At 36.7% G+C, this 20,395-nt stretch overlaps 1 protein-coding gene across 8 annotated transcripts in view, besides 1 other annotated feature; it reads right to left on the bottom strand.

Moving 5' to 3' along the window:
- The window catches only part of SLIT2 (slit guidance ligand 2), a 368,657-nt gene that overhangs the window by 16,092 nt on the left and 332,170 nt on the right, over positions 1-20,395 (bottom strand). For all 8 annotated transcript variants that reach the window (XM_005248211.3, XM_006713986.3, NM_001289135.3 and 5 more), the window contains 4 exons: positions 14,733-14,826; positions 8,636-8,773; positions 7,815-8,055; positions 6,075-6,205 (listed from right to left, as the gene is read on the bottom strand). In XM_005248211.3, the coding sequence (XP_005248268.1) occupies positions 6,075-6,205; positions 7,815-8,055; positions 8,636-8,773; positions 14,733-14,826 (604 nt within the window). The remainder of the gene's footprint in view (positions 1-6,074; positions 6,206-7,814; positions 8,056-8,635; positions 8,774-14,732; positions 14,827-20,395) is intronic.
- Positions 14,618-15,220: an enhancer, noted in NCBI's record as "NANOG hESC enhancer chr4:20590873-20591475 (GRCh37/hg19 assembly coordinates)". NCBI's record gives its function as "activates a minimal SCP1, AML or CMV promoter by ChIP-STARR-seq in naive H9 embryonic stem cells {active_cell/tissue: H9 hESC(naive)}" and the evidence as "EXISTENCE:reporter gene assay evidence [ECO:0000049][PMID:30033119]".

Genomic DNA, 20,395 nt, shown 5'->3' with positions numbered 1-20,395 from the left:
GCTGAGGCAGGAGGATGGCATGAACCCGGGTGGCAGAGCTTGCAGTGAGCCGAGATCGCGCCACTGCACTCCAGCCTGGGCGACAGAGCAAGACTCTGTCTCCAAAAAGAAAAGATATCTAAATATACCTGTAAGAATTTTTCAAAAGAAAGCTTTAGAAAATAGTTGTTCAAGTAATATTTTAATCAGTACTTTTAAAACAGATTAACATGAATAAAATTCACTAAACTAGAAAGGCTTCTCTAAACTTGAACATACTGTACAGTGAGATGTCAGGCTATAAAATTCCCACTTGGGTATTTATTCTTCAGTATCCAGATATTTGAGCAGGAAGAGTATCCATGAATCATCAGCATTACTCAATATCGTGAGCCGACTCTGTGCCAAGCACGATGTTAGGTGCTTTACATTCATTCAATTCTCATAACCAAACATGAAAAGCAGAGCTAATTGCATTTACTGAGATAAGGAAAATAAAGCACAAAGAAATGAAGCAATCTGCCCAAGGTTATAAGCTAGTAAACAGGGGGAACTTTCCATATGGCATATCAAGAATGGCTGAATAAACATCTTGAAAACAAGAATACCATATAGATTCTGTCTACTCTCTGTCTCCCCAATGAGACTGAACTTCTCAGATACAAAGATAATCTTTGTTGAGTTTCTTTTGTATTTTTGTTGAAATGTAAGCCTGTAAATTGCACAACCCAGAGTGTATGTAGCCAACCAAATGTAACAGTAGGTGACAGAAAGTCCCCTGAATTTGAGCAGGTTGCCTAAATATGAAAAACTGTACACTAGTAAGGTGGTCCATCTGATTTTCTTATTTTTAAACAGTAGCTAGCTGTGTTTCCAAAGAAACTGCCTGGTTTGGAAAATGACATTAATTTGAATCTAAAAAAAGAAGCATATATTTTTCAATAATAACTTTTGTTAAAAAAAGTTTATGTTTTTCTAGATGAAAAGAAACTCACTTTGAAAGAGCAGATTATTAGCCTACTTGAGAATAAAAATTTAATACTCCAGCCCTGTCTGAGGACCTACTGCTTAAATTTAGGCTGCCATTCATTTTTCCATTCATTCATGGCACTATTACTGATATGGTTTGGCTCATCTTGAATTGTAGTTCCCATAATTCCCCGTGTTATGGGAGGGACCCAGTGGGAGATAATCGAATTATGGGGGCGGTTTTCCCCATACTGTTATCATGGTAGCGAATGAGTCTCACGAGATGTGATGGTTTTACTGGAGTTTTCCCCTTTCGCTTAGTTCTCAATTCTCTCTTGTCTGCCACCATGTAAGACATTCCTTTCGCCTTCTGCTATGATTGTGAGGCCTCCCTAGCCATGTGGAACTGTGAGTCAATTAAACCTCTTTTTCTTTATAAATTACCCAGTCTCAGGTATGCCTTTATCAGCAGTGTGAAAACAGGCTAATACAATTACTAAGTCCCTCTTTATGCTATTCTCTAAGTGCTGTAAATATTAGGCCCGTGCGCCATATTCCAAATCCATTCCCTTATTAGGCAGCTCATTTCATCTATGTTGCTGGTTAGAGTCCTTTAGGCAGTAGGTTGCTGGCAAATGTTTAACAACTGGTACTGTTAAAAAAAAAACAAGAACAAAAACCTGGATTTGTAGGCTTTGCTGATTTTTGTGGTGCGAATATTCCCAATATGGCTGATTTCAATGTGAGCATCAAGCATGATGTTGTAGAACTTGGATATGAGAAGACATGCAGACAATCAGCTCTCAAAGTACATATTCCTTTTACGCAAGGGGTTCTCAAAGTGTAGTCCCTGGAGTACAAGATCTCCTGGAAACTTGTTAAAAATGCAAATTTTCGGGTCTAGCTAAGAGCTTCAGAATCAGAAACTAGGGGTGGTGCCCAACGCCTGTATTTTAACATGTTTTTCAGGTGATTCCAATGCAGACTTTTGGAAACAACCATTCTACACTACTGCCTGTATGCTTGGTGCTGTTAACAGCAGGCATGTCTACAAGAAGCCATGATCTTCTATCCAGATGTAACAGATAAGATGAGAAAATATGCATACTACTTTATTTCTACGCTAAAAGAATAATTACTACATCTTGAGTTTTCTTAAACACACTTCAAGCTATGTTAACTACTGTCTTTTAACTTTTAACATAGTTGGCTGTGTTTTCAAAGAGGCTGTCTGGTTTGGAAAATGACATTAATTTGAATTTAAAGAAAGAAGCACATATTTTTCATTAACTTTTGTAAAAAATGTTTCCCCTTATCTAGATTAAAAGAAAGTCTTTTTGAAGGGCAGCAAATTACCAGTCTAGAGATAATTTCATAAAATAATTGTCTTCATACTGATTTATGTGAAACAATAGTTGACATATAAAATAAATTTTAACCAAAAATACCCTATAGAATTAATAAGTGTATTATTACTTTCCCCTCATTTTATTAGGTTTCATTTTGCTAAAATAAAATCAATTTTCTTCAATGTGGAGAATTAAGCAGGCAATTGAAATGATGCACCTGAGGTATAAAATTATTTCCAAGTGCAAGGCCCAATAATATATTAAATAATGCAAAATTTGGAAAACAATGTTTTACCAAAGTAAATTTTATATAACATAGAATTATGGCAATAAAACTGAACTTAAGTGGAAACAAATCAAAATTTGAAAATGTACTTCACCCAGACAAAATATTTATTAGCAACTAATGGGACAGCTGATTGCAACACTGTTATTGATAGATTTTACTACAGGGATGGAGAAGTACTATCTTTCATCAAAGATTTTACACTGTAGTAAAGGCCTGGCCCAGGACAGAGGTTGCCTTGCTTGGCATTTTCTGGCATTTGAAAAAAGGCCAAAAAATTAGCCGTATCAGAGCTAAGAGTTATGTAAAACTGCAAATTGAAGGTAAAGGAAAGGAGAGGATTAAGAGTAGATCCATTGCACCTGTCATGCCTTTCAATGAAAGAAGGAATGCAATGGGAACACAGGTTTGGGTGAAGCAAATGAAATAAATTCAGTTTTGGACATCCTGAATTTGTGATACCAGTAGCCATCATTGTTTATGGTTTACCTAGCATTGTTGCAAATATTTTACATTTATCATGTCGTACAATTCTTACCGTAATCTCACAAAAAGGACACTATTATTTGTTATCCCCATTTGCCAGATGAGGCCCAGGGAGCTGAAGCAATCTGTCCAAGACACACAGTTAGTTGATAACAGAGCTGGACTTGAATCAAGCCAGACTATCTCTAGAACAGCAGCTTTTTCTATTATTTCAATTTTATTTTTGAGTGGTAATGACATTGAAATGGCTCAAAAATCAAATGGATATAAAATGGTATTCATGCAGAAGTCTTGTTTCTATTTCTTTGTGTCTAGTTTTTCTTTGTGCAAATACATGAAAATGTAAGTGCTTATATTTATCTCCTTTGAACTTGTTCTTCCTTACATTTCCTTCCTGTCTTCCTTCTTTTTTCTTCATTGCTTCCTTTCTTTCTTCCTTTTTTCTTATATTATTTTCTCAATATAAAAATAATATTCTATATTTAATATGTTAATAAAATGTATTATACATATCTACATATCTGAATTCTTGGTAATTGTTGCCTCTTTTATTAAAAAATAAGGTCATAGCTTTTCTGGATTGGAAAATCAAGAAAATTTTTTTGGTCATAAGCCAAAAGGCAATAATTAAATTAAAGCTGTATTTGCTCTAGGCCTCACATTTTGTATCTCTATTAGATGATCCACCACCAGAAACATGGGCTTGCAGCTTCTAATAAAGAATATGAAATGGACGGATCACGAGGTTGGAGATCGAGTCCATCCTGGCTAACACGGTGAAACCACGTCTTTACTAAAAATACAAAAAAGATTAGCCAGGCATAGTGGTGGGTGCCCGTAGTCCCAGCTACTTGGGAGGCCGAGGCAGGAGAATGGCATGAACCCAGGAGGCGGAGCTTGCAGTGAGCCAAGATCGCACCACTGCACTCCAGCCTGGGTGACTGAGTGAGACTCTGTCTCCAAAAAAAAAAAAAAAAAAAAAAAAAATGCAACATAATAGTCCCTTTATAAATGTCACAAGATACACTCCATCCTTTGTTAGGTGAAATGGCAATGAACATAAACTCAAACAAACTCGTTATGGTAGGTCCTTGTTTGGATATAATCACTTGGGTTTCTACAAAGTATTTAGAAATATTTTGCCATATGTGATATGAATGCTAGCTTTAATAAGCCAAACCAAAAACCTTTACTATGGCTTCTGAGAGTTCTGTGCTGCACCATTACATAAAATAAATTAAAAAAAAATTAAAAAAAATGAACCACAAATTTCTGAAATCTTTTTATGGGCTGAAACACATTGAGGCAAGAAAATTTAAGGCCTCGTAATATCTAAAATCTTGGCACTAATTCATCACCATTTGGAGATAAAATAAGTATTGTATTCAACTTGGAAACCAATAATTATGTGTTTGTTTCCATGCTCCAAATATTCACAAGTGGTGGATATCAAATTCCATTCATGGCTACAAGTGGCTTGTACTTTCCCAGAACTATTATGAAGCATCAAATAAGATGTGCAGACTTTTAAAGCACATTGATACATATGAGAATATCAATAACATGCAGGCCAGTGTCTCCACTTTATGTCATAATCAATGCCTATTCTTTTGTTGCCAAGTGTGTCTGACCTACAGATATGTTTTGTTCATTATATATAGTATTAAAAATGCACACTGATATCTAAAGGAGAGAAAATTTATATTAAAAAAACCCCAGATTTCTGCCTTTTTCCTGAAAAGTCAAGAGTTTGGAAAAACCTAAGTCCATATTTTCTCCACGAAGAACTGAGTAGATGAAATCCTGTTTTGACAAATATTTACTATTGGTTCATTCCAGTCACAACCACTTCTTTTATATTGCCAACATCAAGGCTATTTATAATAAAATAATACTTATGTAAAAATTTAGATCTTTTACAGAATAAAAGGGTGAGAGCATATTATTTTCTTGCACTTGACCTCTTTAATCATTTATGTTACTTATCTGGAAAAATTGACTACTTAGGAGTTTGTGATCCCTTCTCTAAAGGGTGAATTTCTACATGTGAAAAAATTAAATAGCTAAATTGTCTGCAGGATGTTAGGGAATTGGTGTTGGGTTCCAACAGAGGGGCTCTGATAGTTAGTCTTATGCAATAAGGACTAAAAATTATACCCCACGAATACCACCCATTTCACGTCTCCAGTATATTATTAATATCATTAATCATTAGAAAACTTCCAAAATGGATGGTCAAGATTCCCTAAGACAACATTGTATGAATCCATTTGCTTATTCTGCGTAAGTTCCAAATGAGCAGGGGCTTTGTTCCTTAAAGCTCAGGACAGGTCTGGCACATAGTAAGTGCTCAATAAACCTCTGAGGTATGAATGGCAACCTGAAGTTACTCACAGTGCTGGATATCTTCATTTGATTCTCTGGAGCTCCCTTCCAACTTTCTTTACCCAGCTCTGAGCCCCAGGAAGCTCATGTGCAAGCTACATTACTAGAGTCTATAGATTCCTTCTTTCCCGGCATGCAGTGTGGCCCGTGGGGAACACAGACAGGAGATTGTTGGGAGGAAAGAGAGTGAGGTTGTGTATTTCAAAAGCTGGTTGTTTCCTTGAGAACTTACTGCAAACGTCTATTAAAGGTCGAGGCTTCTGGCAGGCAAGCCTCTCTACAAAGCCTTTACAGAGCATGAGTTTCCATAACTGCTCCCTCCTCTTGATCCTTCAGGCATATGGGTAGCAACACCTCCCTGCATCCCTTGTTTCCAGCCCCAGGTTACTATACTATCCCAGTCACCTCTTTGTGCATAGCAGTCCCCTTACAAATCCCTCCTCACACTCTCCAGTTTGAGTATGCCCTCTGTTCCTGCCAGGTTTTTCACTAATACCCTCATCCTAAAACCTGCTGGGGCCAACTTAGTCTCTCTCCTCTCCATAATAAAATGATAGAGGAGAAGCAGTTCTTCATTAAGCAATTTTTTTCACCTTTACCCGTAACTGAGAGATCTTCACCTGTAAATGGCAGAAGCTGGATGAGAGCCGGTGTCATAGCTGGCACGAACACGCCCCCGATAGAGTTCTACCGCGATATGGTCTTTGTCACCCTTATACAGGAGGATTCCGCTGTCTTCATCTGTGGCAATCTAGTAGAAAGTAACCCTGGCATTACTAGGATGTGTACGCAACCAAACGTATTTGATCAGAAAGAGACTGCTAAGTGAGGTGAACAGGTTTTACTATGGTTTATGTTTTCCTGATGGCTATGAGAAAACGATGCTGAAATTATTCCTTGAAAGGTGACTTGTTCTTAAATTGCTTTGTTGCAAATAAATCCATGAAGAAACTTAAAAAGAACAATAAGAAATCCTCAAGTAAACATGTTGGATGTGCTTAGAACTTTCTTTGCTGCAGATTTTCGCTAAACTGCTCCTTTTGCTCCCGTTATAAGCTTTATTTATAGCATCTGTGAAAAATGACTACATTGTCAAAGATGGATTTTTATATCTCATATTTAAAAACAACAAATTCTTCACAGTTATGCCATGTGTAGGGGGAAATCTTTGTTTTTATCCTGCTCTTTGGCCCATTTTGGCTTTTAAAGGATTAATTAGCTAAGTTAAGACTTAAGCCCCAACATCACTGTGTGGTTCTCATAACAATTTGGTGGGGCAAACACTGGAAGGTAGAGAATCATGCCTTCCAGGATTCTCTTCTTCCTGACTTCAAAAGGATCCCCTGTCCCTCACTAGAGTATCAGGGTAAACCAAAAAAGGGGTGGTGTCTACATGAAACTGGCTAAAGTCATTTGAATTAAAAATATATTAAATGATTTTGCTTATCAGATAAAACAAATATGTAGACATAATTTGCCCCATGTACACTATATTTATTATCTTTAATCTAGTGCAGCTTCTTCCATAGGGATCTGAATGACTTGCTTAAAGGTATACAGTGAGTTGGTGGAAAGACTTAAAATTTGAGTTTGTTAATTTCATGTCAATTCTTCAAAGTTCTGGGTGAAGAGTTAAAAGGTGCTGGTTGGCTGAGCGCAGTGGCTCACGCCTGTAATCCCAGCACTTTGGGAGGCCGAAGTGGGTAGATCACATGAGGTTAGGAGTTCGAGACCATCCTGGCCAACATGGTGAAACCCTGTCTCTATCAAAAATACAAAAAAATTAGCCAGACATAGTGGCACATGCTTGTCGTCCCAGCTACTCGGGAGGCTGAGGCAGGAGAATCGCTTGAGCCTGGGAGACAGAGGTTGTAGTGAGCTGAGATCACGCCACTGAACTCCAGCCTGGGCGACAGAGCAAGACTCTGTCTCAAAAAAAAAAAAAAACAACAAAACAAAAAAAAAGGTGCTGGTGGTTGAATCCAGGTGTTCTTTCTCGCCTGCACCCTTCCTAGCTGCAGATTTCCTAAGAAAAGCCTCCCCCATGCAGAGGCTGAACTGCAGAGCCATAAAAGCAAATGAATCAAATGTTTTTGTCTGAGCACAAAACAAAGAGACATATTTTTTTTTTTACTGTCTGCTTATCAAGTAATGAATAAAAATATTTGTTTTTCATTTTGTCTTGAAAATACAAATGTTGAAGAGAAAAATTACTAACGCTGTCCACACAAGGAGCATTTTCTGTTTTTAACTGTCTATTTAAGACATACTATCAATCATTCAGAAGCTACCACAAATGTTTATTCTCTGAAGCTGAATTTTAAGATCCGATCATCTCTCCATAGAGAGAGATCTCTTACCTGAAGTGTTATGTTCGTCTGAGGCCGAACCTTGGCTGAAGGAATCTGAAGATAAGACTCTTTGTTTATAAAATTCACACTAACCAATTTTTCACACTTTTCTCCCTGATAGCCAGGCAAACACTGACATATTGGCTCATTTATTCTGACGATACACTGAGCTCCATTCTGACAATCAAAATTATCACAGGGGCTGGTACGAGGGAGGACCATGGGTGGAGAAAACTCACAGAACAAGCCACTGAAGAATAAGGAGAAAAAAAAATTAGTTAATACGATTTTACTTAATTGCCAATCTGAATTGAGAGCTGTATAACATAACTGTATATTATATATGTGCACTTCCTTGTTTTTCCAGTTTTCAAGTATTCTTAACTATTAAACAAAATCATCACTGTGCTGTACAACAGATATTCCAAACTTACTCATCCTGTCTAAATGACATTTTGTACCCTTTGACCAACATCTCCCCAAACACCATCCCTCTGTCCTCCTCTTTGGTAACCCTCATTCTACTCTTTGCTTCTGTAAGTTCTACGTTTTTTGTCTTAAAATTTTTTTATTTTAATTTTTGTGGGTACCTAGTAAGTGTATATATTTATGGGGTAAATGAGGTATTTTGATACAGGCATGTAATGCATAATAATCACATCATGTTAAATGGGGTATCCATCCCCTCAAGTATTTATCCTTGTGTTACAAACAATCCAGTTATACTCTTTTAGTTATTTTAAAATGTACGATTACACTATTACTGACTATAGTCACCCTGTTGTGCTAGGTCTTATTGAACACTAGGTCTTATTCATTTCTGCTTTTACCTGTAACCTTCGGGGCATATGCACGTATAGCCGTTCACTGCATCTGTGCAGTGGGCTCCGTTTTTACACTTGTTGTCTTGGCAGTCGTCAAAATCGATGTCGCAGTGTTCACCTACGTACCCTGGTGTGCAGTCACATCTGTTGGAACAAGCAGGTAATGGTTTCAAACCCAACTGAGCCAAAATAAGTAAACAATGCATTTTATCTAGACACAATGGCACCATCTTTAAAATACTTATTTAGAATAGGCTCATAGAGCCCCCACATTAATGGATACCTAGAAAATCGAACTGTTCTGCAGTATGTTCCATGTTCTATCACTGTGATCTACCAGAGAAATAGTGATTTTATCTCCTTGATAGTGAACATCCACAGCCCAAATAAGAACAGGGTAATTGTAGCAGGGTCACTCCCTCCCACCCACTCTCCTCCCTCTTCCTTCCTTTCTTTTTCCCCATTTTGTTTGCTTACAGTGCCCTATATTTTCAGTTTGGCCTAATCCATTTGATCATTGAGATTATAAAAGTGCTATGTTGTAAAATTTACTGGAAATATTAAACATATTTAAAAAAAGATTAACATTTTTAATTTTACAATAGAGACTAGATACATCAGAACAAGGTATTATTTTAAGAAAAGCAAATATATTAATATTAAATACCCTAATTCACAATGAATCCAGATACTCATTATAGAAGAACGGGACTGACATAATGGGTTAGGATAGAAGAACTGATAGAAAATTCACGGGGCCAATCCCACGGACAGTTTTCAGCCTGTTCACCATGGTGGTAAAGGGTCTTGGCTGCATTGATGGTGAGGAACCAGGAGTAATAATACAGCTGACATTCACTGAGCACTTCCTCTGGCCCTGCTCTAACCATGTGGCTTCTATGGATTCACTGAATCCTCTCCACAGTCCTGTGATATTCGTGGTATTACTTTGCCCACTCTACAGGTGAGGAGACTAAGGAACAAAGAGGTGAAGTACTTTGCCCCCAAACACTCAACTTCTAAGTGCCACAGCCAGGAATCAAACTCAAGCAATCTAACAAGAAAGCTTGTATTTCTAACCACTGCACTATGCTGTTGAATAATTAATTCCACAGGCTCCCTTTAAACCTGTACTTCTCTAGTGCTGACCACTGGGATCTCTAGTTATGATACCAAGGATGCAGGATTTTATAGCTGCATGAAGAAAGGCAGTGTGGCACGTGCAGCAGTTTTCAAACTGCACTGTGGACCTATAGGGGACCATAGAATCCCTACAGGTATGGCCATCTATGAGGAGGGGTCTTCTGGAAGCCTCCCTCTACCCTCCACCTTTTCCTCAACACTCTCCTGTTGTGATTTATTAGGCTTACACATTGGCTTCCAAGAGTGTTTTTGATTTGAGTTTAAGAGAGGGTTCACTGACTTTATATATATATATACACACACATACACATACATATATACATACATATACACATAACTGCAAAGCCTGAATTCTGCAGAGCTAGGTCATAGTTTTCTCATATATACACACACATATATATATATACACACATATACATACACACATACATATGCGTGTATGTATATGTATATGTATATACACATGTACATACATATACATATATACACACATACATACATATGTATATACACACATGTACATACATATATACACACATACATATGTATGTGTGTATATATGTATATATATGCACATGTGTATATATATGTGTATATATGAGAAAAGTATAACTTAGCTCTGCAGAATTCAGGCTTTGCAGAATATGTACATATGTACATATATACACATATATACACACATACATATGTATGTGTGTGTATATGTATGTACATGTGTATATACATATACATACACACATATGTATTGTGTATGTAGCAGTGTATGTATATATGTGTATATATATGTGTGTATATATGAGAAAACTATAACTTAGCTCTGCAGAATTCAGGCTTTGCAGAATTCAGGTTTTACAGAACTGTGTTTGTACCCCGGCTTCATTCTTAATTGTATGTTATCAACTTTATTTTATTCTAGATTTACTGAGGTATAATTGAAAAATAAAATCTTTATATTTTAAAGATGTACATGGTAATGTTTTATACATACATACATTGTGAAATAATTACCACAGTCAAGCTAATTAACATATCCATCACCTCCCATAGTTACCCTTTTCCTTTTGTGGTGAAAATATTTCAGATCTGCTCTCTGAGCAAATTTCAAGTATATAATACAGTATGAACTATAGTGACCATGCTGTGATATTAGATCTCTAGAACTTATTATTCATCTTGTAACTGAAAATTTGTGCCACTGACCAACATCTTCCCATTTTCCCCACCCCAATTCCTGGTAACCACTCTTGTACTCTCTTTTTCTATAAGTTTGACTTTTTAAAATTCCACATATAGGTGAGATCATCCGGTATTTGTCTTACTATGTCTGGCCTATTTCACTTAGCATAAAGTATATATAATACTGACTAAATTACTTAATCTCTGTAAGTGTTATTTTCCTCATCTTTAACACGTATATAATTCCACCTCACAGGTTTATTTAAAGATTAAACGCATCCATCTGTAAATTAATTAGTATAGTTTTTATATATAATGCACGTTCTATAAATGGCTGGTTTTTAAAATAATTCTCTATATAGTCTTTATAATTCTATAAAAGCTTTTATGGTTTAGTCTGTATTAATTATCCACTTTTCTATTTCAAAGCTATTAGGATTTGAAGTAAGGATAATTAAAAACACCCAAGTGAATGTGGCATTACTGAATGCCTAAGGTTTTGTCTGAAAATGCTAAATCAGGATTTGAGAGTTGCTGGAGAGCGGAAGAATTAAAACAAATGGGAGTATATAGCCTCTAAGAGTAGCAAACAGACTTTCAGCTCTGCATGTATGAATTAAGAAATAAAATGAGCTCACTGCATAAGCATGCTTGCTTTGCAGCCAGTTGGTTTTAATGCTAAATCATAGCAAAGCAAAGTAAACAACAAGTCTGAAGTTAAATAGACTCTAAGTGGCCATATACATTCTCAAAGAGATGGACAAGGCCCGAGAAGAGAACTTCCATCAATGTTAATGTGAGCAGAGCTGTTGAAGTGCCAAGCATTAAAAAAAAGAAGAAATGCTTTGAAACACTCTGAATTATTTATCTGAAAAAAGAAATCAAAGTGAAAGATAAGAGAACAACACATCCACCATAGCGGCTGTCTAAGAGCTATTTTATATTCCCTTCTCTCCAAATACTATTTTTCAAGACCATTAGAGCTTGGAGTTACATTATGTCCAACATTTTTGTCTTTCTTTTGCTCCTCAGACTGAGTTTCAAAACAGAAAGAAAAATTTAAATAAGAATTCCTGAGTTTGTATTATCAATAAAACCTATCACATTCCTTCAACTCTATTATCTGACAAGGAGAGAGGAAGAAGCAAAGAATATAAAATACACTGTTTAGAAGCCCAAAGCTGGCTATGTAAGATGCAGGTTTGAAAATACTGCTTATGGCATATCATAGTCTAAAAATATCTCAAAGCAATTTGGGAGATTTATGAGGTATATAATAAAGCAATAAAAGTAAAACCAGCTCTGTTAGCTTAGTAATAAGAAAATGAAGTTGAAGTAGCATAGCATAACTTGTCTAAACAACATTTGTCAGTAGAGATTTTCTTTAGCAGCTTCACAGAATTTGATTTTTACGTCTATTTTCTTTCCACAGCTACCTTTCCCACAATGTCGGGAGTAACAGCACACACACTGACCTAACCGTTTTCTGCTAAACTACCTACATACAGCTATGAAACGAGCTTACAAACTATAATGGAAAACAGTGGGTTTCCAAATGAGTTAGTCCATAATGCAGCAAAATGCACTTTTAAGAGTGTCTAATTTATTTGATGGCGAGAGGAGATATTTAATTAAGGATTAGTCTTTTTGCAGACAAACTCACTTTCTAATAGTTTCAGTTAAGTCTTACTAATACTTTATCTTATACTTACAATACACAAAGTACTGTGACATCTGTTCAGCAGATGAGCAGTTCTGGAAAACTTTCCTTACTAGCTAATTTCTCTAAGAAATGATATTTATTATGTAAGTGATGTGTTTTCAATTTGCCAAATTAAATTGTGAGCGCATCATTGATATGAAGACTAAAAACAACTTACCTACAGTGTTTGGTTGAATAAAATATAATGTAAAGTTTTGTATAAAGTGAAAATGGAATAACACTGGGTTTTTGCCTAGGGTTGTAAACTAAAATATAATGCAAAATAGAATCAAATTTATTCTTTCCTTTTTCAAAAAGACATTGTAGGGAATTAGCAGGTGCTACAACTGTACCTACATATTCTACATTTTTGGATTTTAAACCAAATTAAAGCAAAAGCACATTGTCAAAAGAAAGCTTGAGAATAAATATTTAATTTAGATTGATATTTGAAAAGCAGTGGGGATCTGGCGATTCTGACCCCACTCTCCCACCCGACTTAAAATATCTGATGATCTGTTCGGTAAGTACAAATATCTTAGCAATCCAGCTCAAATTCCATCTTCTCTTATAAAATTCATCCCGACCTGTGTAATTGTTAATTCCCTGAATTCTATGGCAATTGAGCTTGGGTCATTTCTCTAAGAAGATGAATTAAGTGAAGGTGAATAGCTATAAAGGACTACAAAATCATAAGATGGTATTATTACCATGTGCTGTGGCCATGGCAGGCACTCAATAAATATTGCTTGAAGGAACAGATAATGCTATTTGCTAGCTGTCTGATGAAAGCACAGCTCAACCCCTGTACCCGACTGTGTAATTCCTAAGAATCCAGCCTATTTGCTACACAATACCAACTGTAATGTTAATAAACTATAAAATTTCTTATAGGTAACACATAGTAGAAAAATCACCCAACTGGTAAGTATAAATCCTAGCTCTAGCTCTGCCAATAAATAACCTTAAGATCTCTGGACAGTCAACTAACCTCTCCGGGCCATGGTTTCCTCATGTTTAAATGAAGACTAGATGATCTCTAAACTACTGCCAGCTCTAAAAAGAGAAGTTGCTGTTGAAAGACCCTTAAAATATTACAGGATGGTGGCAAAGAAATCACGTAATTTCATAGCAAACATATTTCAGGAATATTGCTGGGGAGGAAAAAGGAAGTGTTTTTTGAAGTTCTGTGTTCACTTAAGGGAGTACACTTAGCGGGATTATAATGCTTTGTCACCCCATGCAAAAAATATTTAAGTTGGAAGAGACACTATCAATAACTACAGTGATCATCACAGGCATAGCCTGGGACTCCCTGGGGCAGCCTGAGATATATGGTCACTCTATCTTTCTCACCTTGGATAGTCCAATCATTGTTTCAGACCGTAACATCTTCAATTACATTAAAGTCAAATTCTCTATTTTACCACAGACTTACCTTCAGACAATGAAGCACATAGAAGACATTACAAATGTCACCGGTTGGGCCTTCAAATAAATTTAAGTAAGCATTTTCAAAGGCTGCTCATTGCCTTAGGTGACTTCACAAAAAAAATCATGGATGAAAAGGAAACACTTTTTCATTTTTCTTTAGTGTACTAAACAAAAAGTCTGGGGCTGGGCGCGGTGGCTCACGCCTGTAATCCCAGCACTTTGGGAGGCCGAGGTGGGCGGATCATGATGTCAGGAGATCGAGACCATCCTGGCTAACACGGTGAAACCCCGTCTCTACTAAAAATACAAAAAATTAGCCAGGCGTGGTGGCGGGCGCCTGTAGTCCCAGCTACTTGGGAGGCTGAGGCAGGAGAATGGCGTGAACCTGGGAGGAGGAGGTTGTAGTGAGCCGAGATCGTGCCACTGCACTCCAGCTGGGCAACAGGGCCAGACTCCATCTCAAAAAAAAAAAAAAAAAAAAAAAAGTCCATATTGTATATCGACATTTAAAAAATGTCACTGATACTAGTGAATAGGTCCCTTTAATCCTGAGCAGAGGTGTGAAGCTAAGGATGAAGGAGGAGAAGGGCTCCTAAAATAATGGGTCCCCTACCCTGACTGTGAGCAAAAAGGTAGCTTTTGACTTACTTGAATCCCTTTGGAGTTAGGATGCACTTTGAATCGTGCTGGCAGGGGTTCAGGTCCTGGGCACAGAAGTCCAGCTTCTCCTCACACAACTCACCTGCAACAGGGCAAACAGTGTTAGCTCATAGAAAAAGGTCAACAGGCTTCCTGCCAGCAGACTGTGTCATTGTCATGGGTCTTAGAGGTTAGGGCAGCTTGTGATTTAAAACAAAACAAAGCAAAAAACCCAAAACAAAAGCCACAAGGCATGGAACCAGGTGGTCCATTATCCAATTCTGAGTCTGCTGCTAAGTAGTGTTGTGATTTTGGACAACAGGACTATTGTGATCTGTGACTAATATGAGCACCCTCAGAATATACTATGGGAATTAGGAAAAGGAAATCTGAATGCTTTTCAATGGCGTTGTTTATTTTGGATTTTTTTTCTTGATATATAGCATAGACCCAAAGGATGAATAAATTGGTAATGATTATTCACAAACTGAACCCACTCAGGTCACCAGCACCCACATCTAGAAACACACCATGTACCAGCACCCCAGAAGCCTTCCCCCCGGTCCCTGCAAAGAGGATCACTATCATGACAAGACCATAGGCTAGCTGTGACTGTTTTTGAGCTTGACATAAATGAAATCATTCCATATGTACCCTTTTATGCCTGGCTTATTCTATAGTTTTATGTTTGAAAAAAATATTCTCAAATCTTCATAGTCTCTGGTCTTAAAAGTCTATAAGAAAAACACTTGGTTTCCTTCTTGTGGATCATTGCCGCAGCTCAACAGAAAACTTCTTAGAGCCACATCCTCTGACATATAAAGAAAAAAGTAAAAGGAGACTCAATACAGAGACAGGGAACATATATTTTTTCCATGAAAGTCAGCTAACTCATGAAATAGAACTTCTATCAACAAATGAGAGCTGAAGGCATAACCACGCAGATTCTAGGTACTCTTTGTTGAATCACATGACTGATAATTTCTTTAGAAAATTTCTTCTGATAAAAATAACATGGTTATTATTTCACATACATTAGACCAAATGTAATTTTCATTTAGAAGACTTTCCCAATTGTGGCATAAAGTATTAAGGTGACTGGAAAGGTATTCATATACATAATATATATTAACTTACATAATACATTTTAAGTTATTTTTACCTTTTCTACTTTACTCCTACTTTTGAATTGTTTTATATGCAATAAATGGACAAATAAAGTGACACATCTATAGGCAGCTGTTCATTTCCAGGAAACTACTAAAACTGTCATTTGTAACAGCATCGGTTAAAATTTCAGGCTTGTGCACCTTGTAACAGCACCCCTTTGTTACAAGATGATCCTTTTAAAATAATACACTGCTAGTTGGTAGAAATCATTGCTTGACAACTAAATGTGGCATATTATTTAGACTTCAAGAGTCTTTTCCCGTGATGCAAATTAATAAATGTATTCATCTAGTTATTACATCAATCTGGTGTATGATATTAGTTTTTATCTGTCTCTTAAAAAGAACTAATTGCACAGTAAGTCTCATATATTGCTTCTATAAGTTTTCTGGGATACAAAAGATTTTTAGCAACATATGCATGATGAACTATTTTTAAACAGGTTTTATTTAAAGGCTTGTGATTTCAAATAGTATTACTCTAAGTTGGATACCTTGATGAAATGCATTCATCATATTTTATCAGCCTACTATGATGAAATCACTTTCAGTTTCTAACCAAATCTATCTGATGGAGATATAGGCTGTTTATAGTAGTATCTATCCAAGACAGTTTGTAAAAACTGATAGTAAAGAAGGACCATTTGAGATACATAATAAATGTCATTTTATGTACTTTTCACTTTATGCCTAAATAAGAAACTGTTTTAAAATTATAATAAAGGGAAATGTTTTATTCTTTATTTACTCTGATACAATCCAACCCAATTCATCCAATCTAAGTCACAGTCCATAAGGATTTACTACGTGATGTTGTGCTAGAGGCTGGAGCTACAAGGATGAATGTAATGGACTCTGCTCCTAATCAGTTCTTAATCTACCAGCAGAGAAAGTCTTGAGCTAGGGAAAGAACAGAGACAGAGAATTTCATCTCTAAAAAAATAAAACTGAGAGTTGACCCTTGTCTAAAAGGAATTACTCCACAGACTTGATAATGTAAAGGAGTGAACAAGGACAAAGTTCCAAGAAACTGTTAGCTAACCAGATTGTTAAATCTCTAATCAACAGCTTTAAGATTAAGCATGCCAACTTGAACATAAAAAACTACATCAATGTCAAGTATTCCTTACCTCTCCAAGAGTAGCAAAATAGCAATAATCATTACTGAGATTGTATATGGTACTTCTTTGTGACCATTACATAGCTATACACCTGACCTTAGTAAGATAGGTTGACAACGTCAAAAATGATTTGATTTTTGGCCAGGCATGGTGGCTCATGCCTGTAATCCCCGAACTTAGGAGGCTGAGGAGGGCGGATTGCCTGAGGTCAGGAGTTCGAGACCAGCTTGGCCAACATGGTGAAACCCTGTCTCTACTAAAAATACAAAAATTAGCTGGGTGTGGTGGCGGGGGCCTGTAATCCCAGCTACTCGGGAGGCTGAGGCAGGAGAATCGCTTGAACCCAGGAGGCGGAGGTTGCCATGAGCCGAGATTGTGCCACTGCACTCCGGTCTGGGTGACAAGAGCAGTCAAAAAAAAAAAAAGATTTGATTTTCTTTATTATCACCGAACATTATAATGCTAACAAATATTACAAAAACATTTTCTGCATCCAATTACTGCCTAACTTGCTTTAAAGACCAATCTTCCACCCGACATTCATATCACCTGGGTCTGTTTACTATTTCCTGAATTTATTTCAACTCCATGCCAGGGCTAATGGTTTCTCCTTTTGCTTTAATAACAACCTTTCACAATTCTGTTGTCACTTTTCTCATCCATTATATGTTCCCTTCTTTATGGAATCATGCCAGATCTTTTCAACTATTTCTTCTCTATCTCTAATTTTATATTGTGTTTGACTATGCCTATCTTATGACATATACATGGTATATATTTGTTTATGTACTTAATGAGCATTTATATCATGCTTACTACTGTATGCTAAACAGTTTTAAACACTGTATAAATATGCAGTCACTTAATATTCATTACAAGCATATAAGGTAAGGTTTTAGGGTTGCACTGTTATGTGTGCATTTTATATTACTGGTGTTTATCTGACTCTCTTTTCTCGACTGTAAAATCACTAAGAGTAGAATTCTTGCCACATTTGCTTTTGTGTTTTTTCCAGAGTGTGGTATGCTGACATACTCAAATAATAGTCATTAAAAGGAGGAATCATGCTTTTTAAGGCAAGAGCTCTATCTTGTTGACCTGTAATCAACTCAGATTTCATTCTAGCCTTTAGAGATTAGTGTAATTTTTTGCTTAATTACTCACTCATGATTAGTAATAACATAGCTTATGCTATTCTCTTTAAACATTACTGTGAATTTTCCCTGACTAAATATTAACATGAATGTTTTCATTGGACTGTTTCTTTAATTTTCCTTAATTATATTGGATTCTGCTATACTTGAGGGAAGGACCGCTTTCAAAAGAGTGCAACAGTGGCGAGATTCAGGAGCTCAATATAAGAAGGGAAACTTAGCAAGCTCCTTAGATGAATACTGGCCTGCATGTCTACTTCTCAACCAGTAAGAGGAAATTAGACAGCTAAAAGCTGCACTGGTTTTCCAGGAAGAATAGAGATAAAATGACTAACATTAGTCAGCTAATGTATTTTTAGTTACCAATATTGAAAAGTTCCCCCAAACCTCATAGTATTGTGAGGACATGATGCCATTTTTACTTGGTTTTTATTTTAAGTGTAGTCAGAGCTAGTACTGAGTTAGTGGAAAAATAATAAAAAATAGGGGAATTGAGTTTGCTTTTGTGATGGCTCAGGTCCTGAGATAATATTATCAATGGCTGCCTCCCTTTCAGAGATGATAAAGTGTGAGGTGACAGAAAGGAAAACTGGAAATATTCTTTATTCGACTATACAGAGTTAGTGTTGTAAATGATTACCCTATAAGCAGGTCTTAATACGTTTAAACTGACATCAAGAAAGATAAGTCAATCCATTGGAGTGGTTTGGGGCAATGTGGTTGAATATAGGTTAAATGTTGGTGTCTATGAGCCTCTCAAGAGATAGGAGCCTAGGCAAGCCTTGACTCCATGATCTGGCTTCAACCCATTCCTCTAAATCCCAGGAAATCCTATTTATTTATTTTCAGCCATGGGCCCTTAAAATTTCCCAATAGTGTGGAACACAGTCATTGCCTGGCATTTGTGATTTCACTTTTGATCAGATGAGCAAATTAATTTTCCTTATGATTCTAGTTTTCATCTCTTGTTGATAAGAGGTTGAAGCATTCTGAGTGTACGTATATATGTTGGTTGTGTATGTTTTGGCGAGAAAACAAAGAGTGGTCCATCAAGGGGTCTATGGTTACCTCTTCAGGATAAGAGAGGTTAGTAAATGATCTACTGTAACTGGTAATAAATATTGCTGGTAACCAATATCTGCGAATGCCAGAACTTTCTTAAGAAAAAGTGCTACATGTTGTAAACAGAGGAATCTTTTTGACATAGAGGTTGTTTTTTTTTGTTGTTTTTTGTTTTTTGTTTTTTTTGAGATAGAGTCTTGCTCTGTCAGTCAGGCTGGAGTGCAGTGTCGTGATCTTGGCTCACTGTAACCTCTGCCTCCCAGGCTCAAGTGATTCTCCTGCCTCAGCCTCCTGAGTAGCTGGGATTACAGGCACATGCCACCATGCCCAGCTAATTTTTGTATTTTAAGTAGAGACGGGGTTTCACCATGTTGGGCATGCTGGTCTCAAACTCCTGACCTCAACTGATCCTCCCACCTTGGCCTCCCAAAGTGCTGGGATTACAGGTATAGAGTTTTATCTGTTTCTTAGATCACCTCTTCCTGATTTTGTCTGTCGGTTATATATGGGACACAACAGGACAAGAAATGACCAAGTTCTACAGTAACACTATTACAACTTGTGAAAGAGCATGCCAAAAGTGATACCCACTCTTCTAAATGGGAATGATTTTTCAGACTCACTCTTGAAGGGGAGATAAAATGCTACTTACTGAATATCTGTGAATGTGTTTCTTCTGAAAAATTTCATGGAGTGGTAATGTGCCCATTCATTCTTGCTTGTACAACCGTCCTGGTTTATACCCGTTGTCCCAACGTAATTGTCAATAGTGTGCCTGGGCACTCACATAACTACCCTGATTTGGATGATAAATGTTATGGGTCACCTTCTAGGTGGAACAGTAAAAAGCTGGATCATCAGAGTTGATAATACTCTGGAGTGAAGAGTGAATCAGCATAAAGAGACCTCAGGAAGTAACTGTTCTTATTGGGGAAAATGACATTTGGTTAGTTGTATTATTGTCTAGGATGGCCTTCTACGGTTGTATGCAATATACGAGAGTTGACTGGTTGCAGAACTATTTTATTGTTCTCAGCCTCAGTTCTTCATCAGTAAACTGAGGCTCTGGAATTAGAGATGTGTAAGGTTAACTGTGGCTCTAAAAAAATCCCTTTTTTTCAATAAAAAGGAAAATGCTTCTGAAGATATGGATCATGCAGACAGCA

The sequence above is a fragment of the Homo sapiens genome, chromosome 4, assembly GCF_000001405.40.
Source record: "Homo sapiens chromosome 4, GRCh38.p14 Primary Assembly".
NCBI lineage: Eukaryota > Metazoa > Chordata > Mammalia > Primates > Hominidae > Homo > Homo sapiens.
This window is presented reverse-complemented; position numbering and strand designations above follow the sequence as displayed.